The following is a 17299-nucleotide window of genomic DNA, read 5'->3' as shown; positions in this document are numbered from 1 at the left end:
ATTGGATTCTTGTGCACTCTTGGTGGGAATGTAAAATGGTACAGCTGCTATGAAAAATAATACAGCAATTCCTCAAAAACTTAAACACAGAATAACTATACGATCCAGCAATTCTACTTATGAGGATATACCCAAAAGAAATGAAAGCAAGAAACTCAGACAGATATTTGGACACTCGTGTTCACAGCAGCATTATTCATAATGACCAAAAGGTGGAAGCAATTCAAATGCCCATTGATGAATGAATGGATAAACAAAATGCAGCACGTAAATACAATGGAATTATTATTCAGCTTTAAAAAGTAATGAAATTCTGACACTACAACATGAACCTTAAAGACATTATACAAAATGAAATAAAGTCAATCACAAAAGGACAAATATTGTATGAGTTCACTTAGGTACTTAAAGTAGTCAAATTCATGGAGACAGAAAGGAGAATGGTGGTCACCCATGGCTGGGGTGAGAGGTGGAATGAGGAATTATTTTTTAGTGGGTACAGTTCAGGACCAGCCTGGCCAACATGGAGAAACACTGTCTCTACTACAAATACAAAAATTAGTCGGTGGAGGGGTGCACGCCTGTAATCCCAACTACTTGGGAGGCTGAGGCACAAGAATCTTTTGAACCTGGAAGGCACAGGTTGCAGTGAGCCAAGAGTGCACCACTGCACTCCAGCCTGGGCAACAGAGCGAGACTGTCTCAAAAAAAACAAACAAACAAACAAACAAACAAAAACCCGGTATTCCAGTATATAATTAACCACAATTTATTTATCCATTCTACTGGCATTGGGATTATTTCAAACTTGTAATGACTATGAACACTGTGGCACAGATACGGACGAGTTTCTCTGGGCTATACACCTAGGAGCAAAAGTCTAACAGTATGCATATCTTCAACTGTAATGAAATGGTTGTACCAATTTATATTCCCATCATCAGAAATGAGATTTTTTTCCTTGCTTTATACCCACACCAACAATTAGTACTGTCAAGATGTTTTTGCCAGGCCAATCAATTTAACGTGTTATCACAATGTGATTTTACTTTGCATTTAACAAATTACTAGTGTAAGCTTGAACATCTTTTACTACATTTATATTTGGATGTCTTCATTTGGGAAGTGCCTATGCCAGTTTTCTGCCCACTTTTTTAGAGTTTTTTTTTCTCTCAGTGAGTTTTTTATACGCTTTACACTTGAGCCCTTTAACAATTATTCATGCTGCAAATATCTTCTCTACTCTGTGGTTTACCCTTTTACTCTGTTAATAGTAATAAACCATTTGTTCCTCTTTTGATGAGTAGAAGTTGCTCATTTTAAAGGAGTCAAATTTATCAATCTTTCCCTTTATATTAGAGCTTTATGTGACTTGGTTAAAATATTTCCTTACCTCACGGACATGAAGATGTTCGCCTAAATTATCTTCTTAAAGATGAAGAAATAATTTAAGATTTGGGTGATTATCTTCCTCCTGCCAAACACCTGACTGTTCTAGCAGTCTGGGACCAAGCTGAGGTTTTCTCAGATGATCTGCTTGCTAGACAATCCCTGGGTACAGTCATTCTGGAGTCTCAGCCTGGAGGAGGGGGTGTTTCATCAGGATAGCCACTTTTGGTAGGCCCTGGACTGCAACTCTTATCCCTTCAGCTCTGAAACTGCCAAAAGTGCACTTCTACTTCTCAGGCACTTTTTCCTAATTGACAAATACTCCATTTCCCCCAGGACAGAAGAAGCTCTGTATAGCCTCTATATAACGTACTTATTCTTAAACACAATGAAGATCCTCAACTACTTTTCCTTTAAAGGAAAGTACAGAATGCTATGAGAACCCATAGCAGAAGACCCTAATGGAAGTAAGGAGTGGATAGCTGGAAGGAAACAAGTAATGGTCAGAAAAAAATGTCTAAGAGCAGAAATGAAGGATGAGTATGAGAAGATATCTTGAGAGTCGGTGGCATCCTATGACATGCCAACAGAGGATGCTTGAATAGAGATGGTCCAGGGAACAGGAGAGAATGCTGATTAAGGAAACATAAAAGATAAGTAATGTGGTTCTACTGACCATTAAATCAAATAAAAAGAAATACTAATCATTACCTGCAATCTGTACTGAGCCATCTTCTCCAAGAAGAATGTTTCCAGCTTTCACATCTCTTTAAAAAAAAAAAAAAAGTTATGTATCAAAAAACATCTATTCTTTGGAGTAACATAATTTAAGCAATTGTTTACTATATTCATGTAATACTAGCAATATTTAAATGTCCTATTTTATATTAAAGGATATTAAGACTAATAGTAAAATTGTTGTCACTGGTACTAGAAACCCACACATTAAAAAGAAAGCTAGAAAGGTTCTTACTATAATATCTAGAAAACACAAGTGATCAAATATTCTTGATCGGGATAAAAGTGGCCAAAGAATGTGACCCTCACCTAATTCTACATTTTGAAATATATTTTTTTCTATACCCCAATGAATTATCAAATTTTTAAAATCATCAGTATGCAACTGAAAACAGGGAACATTCTTTGCCTGTAACAAAAAGATGGAAATTACTCAGGCATCTCTATAGTTTTAACTATTTATAACACGTAATATAGAAAAATATTCTTGTTTTAAAAACCTAAACACAACTAAAAAAGCCAAAATCCCTTTGACCATCATTCTCAAGTCTAAGTACTCTCTCCAAAGTTTTCAACTATTATCAGTCTGGTTAACAGACTATATACCGATGACATATCTGGGCTTTTCTCCCAATGTAAACAATATTATACTATCCATTCAAATCTACAACTTAGTTTTTTTTTAGCAAAAACAAGTTTTTGGCAAAATTTAAAATCCCCAAATCCTAAGAGTAGCAAAACCATTTCTTGATAACCTAGAGGAACTCTCACAATTTACAGGGAAAGTACAAGGGGGTTCTACTGCAGCATTGTTTGTAATAAAAAACAAAAACTAGTAACAGCCAGCAACAGTAGAAAGGTTAAATTATTTCTATTACATCCATGAAATAATGTCAATCAACATGTTGTGACATGAAATGCTAACATACATTATTAAATGAACAAATCAAATAAGAGACCAGTGCATTTCATGACACCATTAATGTTGCACAAACACACCCCTTTCCCTTGCCAAATGCAATTTTTGTGGAGATTAATGGAATTGAAGTCTAGGGAACAGTGTCTGAATAACTTGTGGAAATACAGTCATTTTGTAATTAAAAGTAAATATAATCAAATAAGCAAAAGAAAGGTAGCCCTTGAAGCTACACAAGAAAGAAAAGCAAGGCCTGCTCATGGAAGAACGTCTTATTTGTCATGAAAAGGAGCCAGTGAAAAGCGCAGCACTTCATCCTATCCCTGGTCCCCTTTTTCCTCCATGTTTAGATATAACCATTCCTTGGCAAACAATGAACAAGAGTTTCACAACTGTGTGCAGAAGCAGCATCATACTACAGTATACAATGCCTTTCCTGAGTATACACTGAAACATAAGGAAATCATGTTCCTGAGTATTTTGTACTGCTTATAATCCCAAGCAATTTATAGGTAGTTCTCCCAGAGGCTGACTTAGTAGAGTGCAGGCCAGCCTGCTTTACTCCATGAATCTAGTCTCAGATTCTAGTCACTACAAACAGGAGAGAATAGAGGACATTCTCTTTCCTTTGTGACAAAGATCATCCAACTGAGTCAACCACTAACTTCCAACTCCCTTTTCTGAGCTCACCTAAAACCCAATGAGGGAAGAAAAGTATAGTTTAGTCACTCCCTTCTCTGTGTTTTTGCAGAAGGCTGTACTATAATGTTAGCAAGGAGTATTATATGATCATATTTCTAGGTCTGTCTCCCTTCCTTATTTCACCATGAGCTAGATCTGGGCCTGTATCTTAATATACTACTATAGTCACCTGTACTTACTTAGCATTATTATTAGTATACAGGAAGCATTCTGCAAATAGGAAGAGATATTCTTCAAATAGATTTAAATAACTATTTAAATTTTTAACAACTATTACATAACCATTGAGGAGATGACCTGCCTCAAATCCTCTTCCTGGGAAAAAAAAAAAAAAAGTAGTGTATAAAATAAAAAAGAAAAAATGCCAACCACACACTGTTCCCTCCCTGCTTCCCCAATCCCTACTCCCCACCTCCTAACTCTGTTCCAAACGTCGGGGTTATAAACTAATATGTTACAGTCAAAAATGGGAACAATCTAATTATCCATCAAAAGGAGACCAGTTAAGCTGTGGTGTATCTAAACCATAAAATACTTTGAATACTAATGAACATACATGTTGACATGGAACTATCTCCAAATACATTATTAAGGGAAAAATGAATGCTAAATAAAGTATGTGGCCATTTGTATTTTCTTTAAAAGAAAAACATGACACAGAGACATACATTATGCTTATATTGACATAAAATATCTCTCAAAGGAGTCACAAGAAAATGGCAACAAGTGATTCCCTTTGGACCAGGGTATTGTGGATTCATAAAAAGAAGAAGACTTAATAGTTTATGTTTTAGGACAGTTTCAGATTTACGTAAAAGTTGAGAAGTTAGTGCACAGGAGTTCCTACACACCTCACACTTAGTTTCCCCTATTATTAACATCTTATATTAGTTCAGTACTTTTGCTACAATAAATGAACCAGTATTCACATATCATGATTAGATAAAGTCCACAGTTTATTCAGATTTCTTTACTTTTTAACTAATGTCCTTTTTCAGTCCCAGGATCCTGCCCAGGATACCATATTATACTATATTCAGCTGCAATGTCTCCTTAGGCTCCTTTTGGTTGTGACAGTTTTTCACGTTTTCTTTGTTTTTGAGAATCTTGACAGTTTTGAGGAGTAATGGTCAAGCATTTTGTAGAATGCCACTCTACTGGAATGTATACAATGTTTTTTTCATGGTTAGATTGGTGTCAGGGGATTTTGTAAGGAAAACCATAAAAGTAAGGTGCCATTTTCATGACATCACAGGAAAGACATACTATCAAATAATTTAACATCAGTGATGCTGAGAAGACTTATTTTGTACCATACACCATTTTGTGCTGTTTGAATTTTTAAAGCCATATATACATATTACTCACTCAAATCCTGTTTTATAAGTTTTAGTCTTTCATAAGTGAAGAGACAATAATCCATTCTCAGCAGAGCCTGCACTTTGAGTGACTACTTTTCCTGATCAATGCCCCAGATAATCAATCCATGTTTCCCTTTTGAAACCAAAAGTACAATCTGTAGAATAGCTTCCAGGAGTAAAAGCAGAATAGCACAATTCACTGGACAATAAAAAACACCACAGTCTGCCCTCAAACAGGACAACAAACCTTTCAAGGAAAAGATTTGTAACTAAATATCTGGAAATCAATATAGTCCCCAGTTAAAGAACTTTTTTACTCTGCCACAAAGAATATCAAGCAAGTCAGCAGCTCCAAAAGCTAAATCCTCTATCCACTCTTAAGTAGCAAGAAGAGTTTTGTTTTTTACTGCTTAATGTCATTTCTCACATGTCACTGTTGCCCCAAAGTTACACACTCCTTCTAAAATTAAAAAGAATATCACAGACACGCTTGACTTTTCATTAATACAGAACACAAGTTTCTGCCCATAACATTTTTATTACTCATCAATAGGCACCATTTATGGAAAACTTGAAAAAGGTCAAGAAAAGCAATGAATCAAAACCAAAGCTGTAAATACACTACATTTAAATATCTTAAACTGACAAAATATCCAACATTTCTGTCACAGCCAGCCTCTCTAATGGGAAAAATATTTGGGTAGATACAGAGAGAAAAGTCTGATTTAGAGACCCATTCATCCTACTCAAAACCTCTAAATCCTAGAAGTCAAAGAGGAAACACAGTAGAGACAGAGGAAAATTACTTTACCTAATCCACTAGGCTGACATACAAATCCACTTGAAATCACAAATGGACTTTGAAGATACGAGAAGTAGCAAGACATCCTAAAAATATCTGCCTCTGCTTCCCAATGAAACAACTTTCTCCTAAGCCTAGGTCTCAGTGTATTACAGAGCTGGTTACTGCTAAAGTCTAAGTAATAGTCTCAGACTTGGCTGCATATTAGAATTACCCAGGGAACTTTTAAAAGTCCCAATGCCAAGGCCTCATTCCAAACCAATTAAATAAATTTCTGACAGTGGACCCAGGTATCAAAACTTCTTAAAGCTTCCCATATTCCAATATGCAGCCCAGGCTGAAAGTCTACGATTTAAAGTGTCAGAGAATTCCCATTCCAGCTAAATGGCGAATGCTGCGTTGGAAAACAAACTTTCATCACTACTATACAGGCCCTTGACCCAAAACACACCCTTCCCTTGCTACAAACACAAAGAGATGCTGGATAAATTAGGGGGAAAATACCACACAGCTAGATGCAAAGTAAGGAAAAAATTCTCAAGGTTCAGAAATGAAAGAGACACTTAAGAGGCAGAGCAGTAGGTAAGAAGACCTGGGAGACAGAAGAGGGAAACTGGCCAAATGGCTAGGGGGCTCAGGTTTTCAAATCCACAGGTAATAGAAAACATGGCACTGGGCTGATATAAGGTTAGGAGCTAAAACTAAAACTCCCTAAATAAAACCAAGACCCTTGAAAGACTAGGCCACAATGAAAGATATGCTTACCAAAGGTTAGACAGGATAGCTATATTAAAATAAGATCTTAATTATCTTTATAAAACATTTAAGACCTAATTGTCTTTACAACAAATAAGATCTATCTTTAAAACAAAAACATTTCTAGGAGTAAAAAGGTCACTTTATAGGAGTAAAAAAGTCATTTTATAGGAACAAAAGGAATAATTCACCAGGAAAATAACAATCCTGAACCTGTATGTACCTATAACATCTATCACAGTGTTCAAAGGAGTCATTAGGGTTATAGGGGTTCCTGGGACCGTGCCACAGAGAGCTGGACAGGTTCCAATGCAACCTGATACTTAGAGTCCCGCTCAAAGGATGCTGATTTGCAGGTTAGCTGATATGAAGGACCAGACAGAATGCCCAAGTGAGGTACATACTGTCTAATGCCCAACGAGCCCAAATAGTGCTAGGCCTCCTTTTTGGTGGTGTGGTGAGGGTAGCAGAGGGTCAAAGAGACAGCAGTTTTTCCTCAACTGTCAAAGGGACTAAACATTGTGAATCTGCCCAAATAGTCCCATGAAAGTTTATTTGGCAAGCAGGCCTTTGAATTTTGTTGCATCTATCAACTACCCCTGCTGGCAAAGATGTAATAATAGTGCAAATCAGGGCCACTATCTTGTTAATAAACAGGACATCAAGAGATCACCTATACAGGAAAAGCTTTGGACATCAGAAGGTAAAAGAATTTTAAGATTTAATCTTATCCAGTTCAATATGTAATGAGCTTGTCACTTCTGTCTTCACAACAGGAAAAAAGTCTGAAAATCAACAACTCTTCTTAGATCCATCAGAGACTGAGGTCACAGGGCAAACACCTGCCTCCAAAAATGTAGACAGGAAGATAGAATTACAGTTTAATGGAGCAGATGCCCAGCAGCAGAAGACTATTGCTGGAGTCAGTACTGGGGTATAAAAACTTAAATTGTAGTTGACAAATGTCTGGAGGCTCAGTGTGGAACAGCTTGAGAGTTAAAAACCCCAAGCAGACCCAGTCTAAGGGAGACTCATACACTTGGATGAGCTGGATGAGCTTTACCTCCTACAGCCCCATGAGATTCTCGGGGTATAGACAGGAGAAAATTCCCCTAATTTCCCACAGGAGGAAGAAAAAAGTAACCAATTTGAAATATGCCCTAAGCATTCTATTCTCCTAAACAAAAACCTACCCTCAAGGGAAACTATTTTATCAGAGCTTAACCACCTTGGTTTTACCAGAACCTAACCCATCTACGGGAAGGGAAATACCCAGTCTCAGTCCCATCAAGCCTTCCTGTCTCACCTTGGGGGGGAACTGAGAAGCACTTGTGCAGTTGATAGCCCAGGAGCACAGGCTCACTAAAAAGACTGAGCTGGGTAAGGGAGACAAAAATATTGATAGATGTCAGAGGAAAAAGAACACCTTACCTATAGAGGAACAAAGGTATGAATTAACATCCCACATCTCAGAAACCATGCAATCAAGCAGAGTGGAGTGAACTGTTTAAAGTGTCAAGAGGAAAAAAAAAAAACCAACCTAGAATCCTGTATCCAGCAAAATTATCCTTCAAAAGTAAAGAAGTACTTCTCTCAGACAAATAAAAACTGAGGGACTTTGCAGTGAGCAGACCTGCCTTGCAAGAAATGTTAAAAGAACTTCTTGGCCGGGGCACGGTGGCTCACGCCTGTAATCCCAGCACTTTGGGAGGCTGAGGCGGGTGGATCACGAGGTCAGGAGATTGAGACCATCCTGGCTAACGGGTGAAACCCCGTCTCTACCAAAAATACAAAAAATTAGCCAGGCGTAGTGGCAGGCGCCTGTAGTCCCAGCTACTCGGGAGGCTGACGCATGAACCCAGGAGGCAGAACTTACAGTGAGCCGAGATTGCGCCACTGCACTCCAGCCTGGGCGACAGAGCGAGACTCCGTCTCAAAAAAAAAAAAAAAAAAAGTATAATTGATATCCTAAGAGAGGAAACGAAATGGAATCATATGAAATGCTCAATTGAAACCAAAGAAGAGGCCGGACGTGGCAGCTCATGCCTGTAATTCCAGCACTTTGGAAGGCCGAGGCAGAAGGATTGCTTGAACCCAGGAGTTCGAGACCAGCCTAGGCAACATTAGAATTACCTGGGGGAACTTTTAAAAAGGTCCCAATGCCAAAGTGTAGGACCCTGTCTCTATAAAAATAAAAAAAAAAATAGCCAGGCATAGTAGTGAGCACCTGTGGGCCAGCTATTTGGGAGTCTGAGGCAGGAGAATTACTTGAGCCCAAGAGGTCAAGGCTGCAGTGAGCCGTGTTCATGCTGTTGCACTCCAGCCTGAGTGACAGAGTGAGCCCCTGTCAATCAATCAATCAATAACCAAATAAGGCTGAAAAAGAAAGACACAAAAAGATGTAATCTTAAAAATCAACTATTTAACCCTAATCCTTGAGCAAATAGGAAAGCAAAGACCCAGAAAAGTAACTAACAAAAGAAAAAAAAAATCAGACTACTACAAATTGTAAAGCTGAGGTTTCAATGAGTAATCACAACATGGAGAAAAAAGCAAGGTACCATACCCCACCAAACATGCACATGCGCGCACGCGCGCGCGCACACACACACACACACACACACACACTCCTTAACTGGGTTACTCTTAGAATAACAGCATTTTTTTATTTTTATTTTTATTTTTTGAGATGGAGTCTTGCTCTGTCGCCCAGGCTGGAGTGCAGTGACGCAATCTCAGCTCACTGCAACCTCCGCCTCCCACGTTCAGGCCATTCTCCTGCCTTAGCCTCCCAAGTAGCTGGGACTACAGGTGCGTGCCACCACACCCAGCTAACTTTTTGTATTTTTAGTAGAGACAGGGTTTCACCATGTTAGCCAGGATGGTCTCGATCTCCTGACCTCATGATCCACCAACCTCAACCTCCCAAAGTGCTGGGATTACAGGCGTGAGCCACTGCGCCCGGCCTAGAATATCAGCATTTTTAAAAACTCCATACATGATAGGTAAAAATCAGTCATCTACAGAACCATTCCACTCTAGGAAAAAATGAGTATTTCTAGTTGCCTAAATTTTCTAACCTGCTTCAGTCTTACAAAGAAAAAGAAACTTCTTTTTATGAGGATGAATGAGAACAACTGACTCTAATGAATAATGTATAAACTCTAAGGAATCTTGGAAACACCGAGGGTCCCCAATTTATGATCGTTCAGTTTTGACTTAATGATATTTTCTACTTGCAATGGAGTTGTGTCCCAATAAACCCATCCTAAGTCGAGAAGCATCTGTACTCTTAAAACAATATGAATTTCCATCTAAAACTGTACCTAATCAATTGTTCCTATACCTGGTTAACATGTTAACAAATCGCTAAAAATGGGGTACGGCCAAAGAGGAAACATTTGTGAATATTTTTCCGGCACTGTTAAGTAGAAAAAATGTACTGAAAAACTGAAAATTCTAGTCCTCTGTATTATGATAATTGTATGTATGCATACCTTGATATTAGCAATTAACATAATTCAATTAATTACCTCAGTTCTGATTCCATGTTCATCAAATAATCTTGTGGGAAAAAAGTGCCACAGACTACTAATTGGCCCTCAATGTCTGGATGGAAGGAAGAAAGGAAGGAAGGAAGGAAGGAAGGAAGGAAAGGGAGGGGAGGGGAGGGGAGGGGGAGGGGGGAGGGAGGAAGGACGGGGGTGGGGAGGGAAGGAGAAGAAAGCAAAGAAAGCAAGCAAGAAATTTTTACTGGGGACATGACCATCCCGAAGAAAGGCAACATTTCACAGCCTTCCATGCAGGCTAGATATAACCATGTGACTAAAGTTCTAGCCACTGTGATGCGAACAAAAGTGGTTTCTACAACTTCCTAGTTGTTCCCTTAACATAGGTGTTCTTGTCCCAGCACTACTGATATTTGGGCTGGGTAATTCTGTTGTAAGGGGCTTCCTGGACATGATAGGATAAATTTAGCAGCATCCCTGGCCTCCACCCATTACATGTCAGTAGCACATTCCACTCCCCAACTCCAGCCCCTGTTGTGACAACCAAAAATGGCTCCAGGTATTGCTAAATGTCCTGAGAACCACTGCTAATAGGAAATGGCATAACCTCTATTTCCCCTTTCCTTCCTTCCTTCCGCTGAAATGTGGATGTGGTGGAAATCAACTTGGGCCATGAAGCAAGAACTTAGAGCTGGTACAGCAATAAAATCAGAGCCTGAGTCCCTGACTCCATGGAGTCATCATACTGGACTGATGTCATTTATGCCCAGACTATTATGTGAAAGAAAAACAAAATTATCTTCTACAGCCCTGTAAATCAGAGATTGGCAAACTACAGTCCACAAACTGAATCCAGTCCATTGCCTGTTTCTGTAAAAGATGCAACCATGCCTATTCAGCTACAGATTGTCTATAGCTGCTTTCATACAAGAAAAACAAAGTAGTGGTGACAGAGAACATCTCACCCACAAAGTCTAAAATATTTGCTATCTGGCCCTTTACAGAAAAGGTTTGTCAGCCTCTGGTGTACAAAATAATGACAATGACCGTTCACTGATTCTTGTGTGCTAAATACTATTCTAAGTGCATTGCAAATATTACCTCATTTAATCTTCACAACTACTTTATGAGATAGATACTATCTCATCCCTATGTTATACATGAGAAAATAAGGCAAAAGAGAGATTAAATAACTTGCCAGAGGTCACCCAATTAGTGACAGAGCTGGGATCTGAATCTAGGCAGTCTGCTTCTAAAGCCTGCTAAGAAAGACTGTGCTAATCAATGAAGCTGAGTATCCATCGACTTAATATCAGTTACATTTTTTTGGTTGCTAACTCAATAGAATTTTAGTCTGCCACTGAGATTAATTTTAAATATATTGTGTTGTCCTCTTTTACTTAGCATATCCATATATCTATTTTTTCAAGTCAAAGTTTTTACTTCAGAACACCGATGAAAGTATCTTCTTTTTCCTAAACCTTTACATATCTAGAGTTTCTATAGCGAATAGCAAAATTAACCCAAAACATCCACTGAAGTATACATTTAGGGTCATTGTCTCTTTTTTTTTTTTTTTTAAGAATGCAATAAGTGGATTCATATCAATTTCAGGCACAAAGAAATTCAGTTTCTGCTTTATTTTGTATGACTATAACATCTACTTTGCATAATGTATCAACTCTCACTTAACTAAGTGAGTAACATCCTTTTTAAAAGTGGCCTAAAATGCTGCCATTTCAAAAGCATTACCTTGACATAATGTCATTGTTAAAAATGTCCTGGGAATTCTCATTCAGAATTGCCCTCAAAGTTAGCTTATAAGCCACTGAAAAACTCTAGACCCATTGTATAAGCTTGAGCAAATCCCCTAATAAAGCCTCTTTTTTTCACCAGCAAAGTAAGATTAATAATAGTAACATATTACCCATGCATGTGACAATATACAAAGTTTCTTGTGTCAAAATTAATTTTAAGAATACAAAATATAATAACTTTTTTTCTTTAGAGATTTACTTTAGGAATTTCTTTAGATAGAACAAAAATGTATTTATTTCTTACGATAATCTCAAGGCAACCAAATGCACATGAAGAGTGGGGTCTTCCAGCTACAGCTGAGTGAAGAAATAGATAAATCTTCCCCCTTAAAAAGCAATCTTAAAGCTGGACAAATATGACAAAACAACCATTTCAGTGCTCTGGAAATCAACCTGAGAAACCTTTTATGCTTGAAAAACAGCTGCACTTCAGGTAAGAACACTGAGACTCTATGGGGTTCTGCTCTGGGACTAGCCCCATCACTTTCTGGCCCCAGCTCAGTCAGCATGGAGGTTCTAAGGCAGACAGACCACGATGACTGGCAGCTTCTCTGCCACAGTTAAAAGAGGCTCCTTTGATTGGACATGGTAGGCAACACCTACACCCAGTGACACTGTCAACTAAAGTGACATTCTGAAGGCGGACCAGCAGGAGAAGGTCATCAGTGGCTCTACTAGCCTGTTGTAGCAGTCTAGATAGAGACGAACATATTCTTGGCCAAAGGTACACAGTGGAGACAAAGAGGCCCCTGCTATTCACACACTCCTGGCCAACCCTGAGGATGTGCACATGAGCATAGGAGACAAAAGGGCCTATCCAAAAATGAAACCCAGGCAAACTGGAAAACAGAAACTGAACTTAGAAAATGTTCATTTCTAAACCCACAGAAAGATCCAATGGAAGATAGCCAAACAGAACCCTCCACTGATCATCTTCCCCACAGAAACACCAAACTGAACAACTACCTACATGAAAAAGCACCTTCATAAGAACCAAAACTCAGGTGAGTGATCACAGTACCTGATTTCAACTTCACATCACTGTTAGAGACACTAATGGTGATAGGAAAGACAGTCTTGAATTGTCAATGCCACCCCTTCCCCATTTCCCAGAAGTAGCTGCAGGGCACAGAGAGAGAATCTGTGCTTGCATTGGAACTCAGTGCTGCTCTGCCACAGCAGAACGCAACACCAGGCAGAACGCAGCCAGCACCCATGGAGGAAGCACTTAGACCAGCTCTAGCCAGGGGGAATTGCCCATCTCAGCAGTCAGAACCTGAGTTCTGTCAAGCCGTGCCTCTGCAGGCTAAAGTGCTCTGGGGTCCTAAATAAATTTGCAAGGCAGTCAAGGCTACAAAGAATGCAATTCCTGGGCAAGTTCTGGTGCTGTACTGGACTTGGAGCCAGTAGACTTGCAGAGCACACAACCCAGTGAGACACCAATGGGGCAGCCAAGGGACTGCTTGTGCCACCCCTTCCCCCCACCCCAGGCAGCACAGCTTGCAGCTCTGGGAGAGATTCCTTTCTTCTGCTTGAAGAGAGGAGAGGGAAGAGTAGAGGACTTTGTTTTGCAACTTGAATATCAGCTCAGCCACAGTGGAACAGGGTACCAGGCGGAGTCTAGCTCCTAGATGACATTTCTAGACACACCCTGGGCCAGAAGGGAACTCATTGCCTTAAAGAAAAGGACCTAGTTCTGGTAGGATTCATCATCTGCTAACTAAGGAGCCTTTGGTCCCTGCATAATTGGCAGTGGCAGCCAAGCTGTACTTGCTGTGGACCTTAGGTGAGACTCAGAGACGTGCTGGCTTCAGGTGTGACCCAGCACATTCCAAGCTATGGTGGCTACAGGGAGGGACTCCTTCTGTTTGAGAAGAGGGAAAAGTAAAGGGGACTTTGTCTTGCAGCTTAGTTACCAGCTGGACCACGGTTGGGTAGAGCACCAAGCAGGCGCTTGGGGTCCCCAATTCCAGGCCTTGGCTCTTGGATGGCATTTCTGGACGTGCCCTGGGCCAGAGGACAGCCAGCTGCCCTGAAGGGAGAGTCCTAGGACTGGCAGCATTCACCCCAAGCTGACTGAAGAGCCCTTGGGCCCCAGCTGAACACTGGGGGTAGCCAGGCAGTACCTGCCATGAGCTTGGGGCAGTGGTGGCCACGGGGAGAGACTCCTCTACTTGTGGAAAGGGGGGGGAAGAGTGGGAAGGACCCTGTCTTGTGGTTTGGATGCCAGCTTAGCTGCAGTAGACTAGAGGACCAGGTAGATTCCTAAGGTTTCCGACTCCAGGCCCTGGCTCTCTGATGGCATCTCTGCACCCACCCAGGGTGGGGTAAAATGACTGCCATGAAAGGAGGAACACAGGCCTGGCTGGCTTTGCCATCTGCTGATTGCAGAGCCCTAGGACCTTGAACAACACAGGCAATAGCTGGGTAGTGGTTACCATGGGCCCTGGGGAAGACTCAGTGCTGTGATGTCTTCAAGTCTGATCCAGGACAGTCCCAGTGCTGGTAGCCACAGGGGTGCTTGTGTCATCCCACCCCCAGCTCCAGACAGCTCCGCCCAGAGACAGAGAGACTCCATTTGCTCAGGAGAAAGTAAGGAAAGAGAAAAAGAGTCTCTGCCTGGTAATCAGAGAATTCCCCAGGATCTTATCCAAGACCACCAAGGTGGTACCACTATGAGTCTATAAGAGTCCAAGACTAGTCTGGGCAACATAAGAAGACCCAATCTCTACAAAAAAAATTTTTTTTAAATTAACCAGGTGTAGGGTCCAGCCCTATGGGGCTTAGCGGGTGTTCTCCCTGTGTGCGGAGAAGAGAGGCTGTAATAAATAAAGACACAAGACAAAGAGATAAAGAGAAAACAGCTGGGCCCGGGGGACCACTACCATCAAGACACGGAGACCAGTAGTGGCCCGGAACGGCTGGGCGCGCTGATATTTATTGCATACAAGACAAGGGGGGCAGGGTAAGGAGGGTGAATCTTCTAAGTGATAAGGTGAAGCAAGTCCCGTGATCATAGGACAGGGGGCCCTTCCCTTTTAGGTAGCCGAAGCAGAGAGAGACAGTAGCATACGTCAGCGTTTTCTTCTACGCACTTATAAGAAAGATCAAAGACTTCAAGACTTTCACTATTCCTTCTACCGCTATCTACTACGAACTTCAAAGAGGAACCAGGGGTACGGGAGGAACACGGAAGTGGACAAGGAGCGTGACCACTGAAGCACAGCACCACGGGGAGGGGTTTAGGCCTCCGGATGACTGCAGGCAGGCCTGGATAATATCCAGCCTTCTACAAGAAGCTGGTGGAAAAGAGTGTTCCCTGACTCCTCCAAGGAAAGGAGACTCCCTTTCGTGGTCTGCTAAGTAATGGGTGTCTTCCCAGACACTGACATTACCGCTTACCAAGGAGCCCTCAAGTGGCCCTTATGCGGGTGTGACAGAGGGCTCACCTCTTGCCTTCTAGGTCACTTCTCACAATGTCCCTTCAGCACCTGACCCTATACCCACTGGTTATTCCTAAGTTATATTAGTAATGCAACAAAGAGTAATATTAAAAGCTAATGATTAATAATGTTTATAATAATGATTGATAATTGTCCATGATCATCTCTATATCTAATTTGTATTATGACTATTCTTATTCTATTTTCTTTATTATACTGAAACAGTTTGTGCCTTCAGTCTCTTGCCTCGGCACCTAGGTAATCTTTCGCCCACAACCAGGCATGGTGGCACATGCCTGTAGTTCCAGCTACTAGAGAGGCTTGGGCAGGAGGACTGCTTGAGCTCAGGAGTTTGAGCTGCAAGTGAGCTACAATCATGCCACTACACTCCAGTCTGGGTGACAGAGAATCTGTCTCTAAAAAGAAAAAAAAAGTCATTTCCCTTCAAACTCATGCCATCCAGCTTTAATATTATACTTTCTCTCTCTCTTTGTTGTTCATTAAGTCTTGCTTTCCAAGTCATCTTGCCTTATCCCAAGAAACTTTAACAATCACAGAGACAATCCCTGCCTGAGTTCACTGATGCCATCTCTAAAGACCCCGTCCTCCACTCTACCTGGGTCATCTGCTTCCTCAGTTTTTTATCTTATTATCACCAAAACTGACCCAATTATGAAATTACTAATTCAGACACCCCACTCTCCTATCTTTCGAGATAACTATTCAACTACTCTACTATGACTACTCTAACTTCAAAGATCACTAATCCACTGACCTGTCTTGATTTTCCATCAGCCTCATCCAGTTTTCAAGATTTTAATCATGCTCTAATAACCTGACTCCCTCTTGTCCCTTTGTTCTACAAGTTGCCTGTTTGGAGCCCAAGTCCCAAACTGCACATCTTTAGCAAAACTAAAAGACAAAAATGGAGAAAGAGTAATTTTTTTTTCTTTTCGACACAGAGTCTTGCTCTGTTGCCCAGGCTGGAGTGTAATGGCATGATCACAGCTCACTGCAGCCTCAACCTCTGGGGCTCAACTGATCCTCCTGCCTCAGCCTCCTGAGTAGCTGAGACCACAGGCAAGCACCACCATATCTGGATTTTTTTTTTGAGACACTCTCGCTCTGTCGCCTAAGCTGGAGTGCAGTGGCGCAATCTCGGCTCACCACAAGCTCCGTCTCCCAGGTTCACACCATTCTCCTGCCTCAGCCTCCTGAGTAGCTAGGACTACAGGCACCCACCACCACACCCAGCTAATTTTTTGTATTTTTAGTAGAGAGGGGGTTTCACCGTGTTAGCCAGGATGGTCTCAATCTTCTGACCTCATGATCCGCCCGCCTCAGCCTCCCAAAGTGCTGGGATTACAGGCGTGAGTCACCATGCCTGGCCCGTATCTGGATAATTTTAAAAAATTTTTTTGTAGAGACAAGGTCTCACTATGTTGCCCAGGCTGGTATTAAACTCCTGGGCTCAAGCAATCCGCCCGCCTCTCAAAGTGCTGGGATTATAGGCGTGAGCCACCATGCCAAGCCAAAAGAGTAATTTTTAATATATAAAAAGCTCAGGATAAAAAAAGGCAGGAAGATACCAGCAGAAAAATAGGCAAAAGTTGAGCTGGGCTCAGCAGCACATGCCTGTAATCCCTGCTACTTGTGAGATTGAGGTGGGAGGAATGCTTGAGCCCAGGAGCTCAAGACCAGCCTGGGCGACACAGCACGACCCCATTTCAAAATAAAAGAAAAATAGGCAAAAATCACAAGCAGATGCGTCACAACAGGAAATACCAATGGCTTCATATAAATCTGTGTCCAACCTCACTAATAATCCAAGATGTCAAAATCGATACTATTCTTCATGTATCGAAA

At 41.0% G+C, this 17299-nt stretch overlaps 1 protein-coding gene across 9 annotated transcripts in view, besides 1 other annotated feature; it reads right to left on the bottom strand.

Annotated features, from left to right (window-relative positions):
• The window catches only part of OXSR1 (oxidative stress responsive kinase 1), a 91422-nt gene that overhangs the window by 37233 nt on the left and 36890 nt on the right, over nucleotides 1–17299 (bottom strand). For 8 of the 9 annotated variants that reach the window (XR_007095781.1, XM_011534331.3, XM_017007601.2 and 5 more), the window contains one exon: nucleotides 2101–2156. Coding sequence is in view for 7 of the 9 variants with exons in the window: in XM_011534331.3 (XP_011532633.1) it covers nucleotides 2101–2156 (56 nt within the window). In the remaining 2 variants the exon portion in view is untranslated. Of the gene's footprint in view, nucleotides 1–1393; nucleotides 1580–2100; nucleotides 2157–17299 lie in introns of those variants that run through there. The other variant, XM_024453852.2, reaches the window with a different exon arrangement.
• Nucleotides 7812–7921: a silencer, noted in NCBI's record as "silent region_14207". NCBI's record gives its function as "represses an Ori minimal core promoter by ATAC-STARR-seq in GM12878 lymphoblastoid cells {active_cell/tissue: GM12878}" and the evidence as "EXISTENCE:reporter gene assay evidence [ECO:0000049][PMID:35858748]".

This window comes from Homo sapiens, chromosome 3 (assembly GCF_000001405.40).
Source record: "Homo sapiens chromosome 3, GRCh38.p14 Primary Assembly".
In the NCBI taxonomy this organism is placed as follows: domain Eukaryota; kingdom Metazoa; phylum Chordata; class Mammalia; order Primates; family Hominidae; genus Homo; species Homo sapiens.
This window is presented reverse-complemented; position numbering and strand designations above follow the sequence as displayed.